This window comes from Homo sapiens, chromosome 2, assembly GCF_000001405.40.
Source record: "Homo sapiens chromosome 2, GRCh38.p14 Primary Assembly".
Taxonomy (NCBI): Eukaryota; Metazoa; Chordata; class Mammalia; order Primates; family Hominidae; genus Homo; species Homo sapiens.
Window position 1 is genome coordinate 12,768,006 of NC_000002.12, and position 3,965 is coordinate 12,771,970.

At 41.6% G+C, this 3,965-nt stretch overlaps 1 annotated feature.

Moving 5' to 3' along the window:
* Positions 1,522-2,372: an enhancer, noted in NCBI's record as "H3K4me1 hESC enhancer chr2:12909653-12910503 (GRCh37/hg19 assembly coordinates)". NCBI's record gives its function as "activates a minimal SCP1, AML or CMV promoter by ChIP-STARR-seq in primed H9 embryonic stem cells {active_cell/tissue: H9 hESC(primed)}" and the evidence as "EXISTENCE:reporter gene assay evidence [ECO:0000049][PMID:30033119]".

Below are 3,965 nucleotides of genomic sequence, written 5' to 3' on the forward strand. Positions count from 1 at the left end.
ATCTAGCCGAAGTTGGAAAAATCCCAGGCAAACAAACACTGAGTGCTTATAGCTCACTTTAATCTGAGGAGAAAAAAGGAAAGGAGAGCAAAAGGAGGGAGGAAGGGGAAAATGAATGAAGACACCAGCATTTACTGACTTCTGTGTCTCTCACCCAGTGGTTGGTGTTTTGAGACCGGAACAAGAGACAGACTTTGTTTTCAGTTTAGATTCATCACTAAATGATGTGTGACTTTTGGCAAGTCATTTTGCTCTCTAGGCTTTGTTTTACATTCCAAAAATGTTGGGGTAGATATCTCTAAACTCCCATCTAGGCTGATGCATGTAGAGATATAGAATCTTTACAGACCAATGCTTCCTCCTGCAATAACTCAGTGAAAAAGAGCAGTCCCCAATACCTCGTGATTGCACACAAAGGCAGCTGGAGTCCCATGATGAATGTTTGCTCTGGGGCTCAGTGCTGGCTGATGGGGTTGCCTCTTGTGTTTTCATTCTAGCATGATATTCTTTCTTCTTATTCAGGACAAAGATCTGGCTAGGTGTTGATGACCAGTAGACTAGGAAGGCCACCATATGTCATTGGCAGATCTGAGCCATCAGCTAGGATAAGGGAAGGACTAAGTCAGTGAAGAGGAGATCAGGTAGGACAAGAGGCAGAGAGGGAGAATAAGGAGACACGAGTGTGAGGTGGCAGAGGAGGATTGTTGCGGAGTTGTATTTGTGTGGAAGGCCTTTAGCCAAGTATTTTGGTAAGACCAGCTTGCTTTATTTCGGGGGATGAATATTTAGCTGAGTGCAATGGACTAAGGTAATAATAACTATTAAGGGGCTTGAATTCTTGTCTTGGTTCTTGCACTAACGGACACATACCTTTCCCTTTCTCTGCTCATCTACAAAATAAAGACAGTGCATGGTCTTTTCAATGATCTTCCTTCACAATAGCATCTCGGTCACTTGCCCTGGCACCCTAGAGAAAACCTAGGACCACTTAATTTTCCCAGGTCACTTTGCCATGCCAATTTTAAAACCTGTCAGCTTTTCTACAGATCCAAGTGATTGTCGAGAGAGAGTGTTCAGCTTAGAGTTGGCTGCCTTCTGTAAGGCCTCCACTCTTCAGGGGGACATGGGTGCTATGCTGAGCTGCCTGGCACCCCCTCATCTCTCCTTCTTGTATTCTCCTCTGCCACATTTGCATCCATTTGACCACTATCTGGAGAATACCTGTTGAGGGTGTTGTCAAGGTGATTCCTGCACCAGCTGGGAATTTAACTAGGTGTTCTTTGGAGCTCCCCTTAATTCTGAGATGAAGACTTAAATCATTTCTAGAATCAGAAGGAAGAGATAGAGAAGAAAGAGCACGACATGGCTTCTGAATTTTTTTTTAAATTATGGTTGTCTTCTCTTTCTTTTCTTCTTCTTCTTCTTCTTTTTTTTTTTGTAAAACTGGGCAATGTGTTGTGCAGAACATTTTAGTTGTGGGGTTTCAGAAAGCAAGCAAGCAGGCAAGCAAAAAGACAGAAAAAGAGAAAGAAAAGAAAGAGAAGGAGGGAGAAAAGGAAGAAAAGTTAAAGGAAGAAAGAAATGAAAGAAGGCAAGAAAAAAAGGAGGAAGGAAGGGAGAAAGGGAGGGAGGAAGAAAAGAAAGGAAGAAAAAAGGAAGAATAACTTGTCGCAAAGATGTAAGGAGGCTGAACAGAAGAGACGTAGATGGGAGAAAGGGGACAAAAGAGAGGAGAGAAAGAGAAAAAAGAAGAGAAGAGAGTGATGAAAGGAAATCAAAGAGACAAATGTGGATGGGTTTCCAGGCAGCTGCAGTCCTGCCCGCCCCCATACGCGGCGATGACTTCCTCCAAGGAAGAACTTGTGCAACTGTGGAGCTGATCAGGCCGCCCGGGCTGCCTTTCAGCTCACAGTCACTGCTGTCTCTGAAGGATGCTGGAAGTGGAAAACTTCGCACTTGCTCCCTTGCCAGTGCTGTATCAGGAGAAATAGGCAGTTGGAGAACACTGTTGGGTTGATGGTTTTCTGACCTCTTGTGCTGCCCCATGGCTTGTTTGTGCATCCAAATTTCTCAGCAAGCATGGAGATAATGCAGGAGCAGAAGGATGCAAGTGGGCACTGCAAGCCCACACTTCACATTTCTGTAAAGAGTCCAAAAAGACTAAGCAAGGCAATGAAATGAAGTAGAGAAAATTTTGAGAAGATAGCAAAGCTCTGTCCAAACTTCTTTCAGAATCATCTTGATTAATTTTGTTAAAATTACTTTAAGGGACCTTTTCTTTAAAAAAAAAATTAAAGGAGTTTTCTTCAGCACCACAAAAACCCGGATGCAAATCCTACTGTATTTTATTCAGAGCAGGTCGTTTAATCTTTCAGTCTCAGTCTTCTTGCTTCAACTGTGGGATAACACTACCAGTCTTGTAGAAATTGCTGCAAGAATGAGAGACTTAGGTTTTCTTGACTAAAGCAGATCTGTTTCTGGAGGGTCTTGTTGCTTCTTTGTGTGCTGTTTGGCATTTGGCTGGCGCTCAGCGACTGTCAGTTCTAAGCTCTTTAAGCTTCTGATTCCACTTCTTTCTTCATTTTACCATTCAGTGAAGTTCACCAAAGCATATGCATTACTAGAAAATGATAATTTATTTTGAAAAGCAAACAAAAGAAGGTTTTATGTGGCAAATACATTCAGAAGGAAGAAGAGATAATTAGCCACCACAGAGGCCCCATGACGTTCATTCACTTGCAAAGAAGTTGGTGGCATCTCAATGGCATCTATTTTCTGCCGACTCTGTGTACTTAGCTTTGGTGTTAGCTCCACTGAAGTGCATTGCTTTCACCTGGAGGGATGCTTTTCATCCACATCCAGACTACCTACAGCATCGCCATTTATAGCCTTCTATGTATTAATACTTTTCCCCATCAAGTTGAACCCCTGGAACTGGTTTCCTTAGTGTGTCGTTTTTATTCTCATCTGCACAATTTTTGTTTTCTCCCCTGAAACTTTGGAAAGTATTTTTGTATTCTTCTATTTCCTGCCGTTTCTTACTAATTTTTCTAAGGAGAATCAGCTGTTCATGCCATCTGGTCACAGGATTCTCAAGAATTAGAGAAGAGTTTTTAGTGATAAGAAATGTCATCATTACTTGCTTCAGGTATGCAGGCAGGAGTGAGGAGATTTAGAGAGGTCTCATGCTTCATCCTGTTGGATTAAGCTGTGGTTTAATACAGGAGCATTGTTTGGAGGTGGTGTTGTACAATCACCCACAGAGATGTAGACACGCTCACACACAAATATACATACACATACGGGCAGAGAATATACAGCAGAATAGGAACGTGGGAGGTCAGCCCTCTAATTCCACTTCTGTCACTAACTTGCAGTGTGACACTAGAATGATGACATCATCCTATAAAGCAGATCATGTGTTCCAATTTTATAGATGAGAGTACTGAGGTGCAGGGTTGTTATTTTTTGCTCTGAATACCACATTTCTATTATATAGACCAGCAAATATTCAAGTTTAGTTTTCCTAGTTCCTGAACTAAATGTTCAAAGTTTAGATCTGAAGGGAGAACCATCATATGGCTCTGTCTTTAACTCAGTGCCTACACTCTTATGATTCCTTTGGGCCGTACTCTCTGGTCCCTCTGCTAAGTAGGTGGTCCTCAAGAAAGAGAAGCCTGACTTACATATTCCACTCATAACTCCATCTGTAGGTACTCAACTCACCTTTCACATTAATTTAGGGCCAACTCCATGCCAGACATAATTGAGACACTTGAGATAAAGAAGAAAAAAAGACAAAATTATCTCATATTATGAATGTACACTGTAGTGGGAGTTTGGGGAAAACGGAATATAAACAAATCATTAAAGGAGATAAATTCAGATGATAATATCAAGAATATAAATGGAGAGATGTGATTCACAATAATATTGGGGATGCTATCTTAGATGGCCTGCTTAAG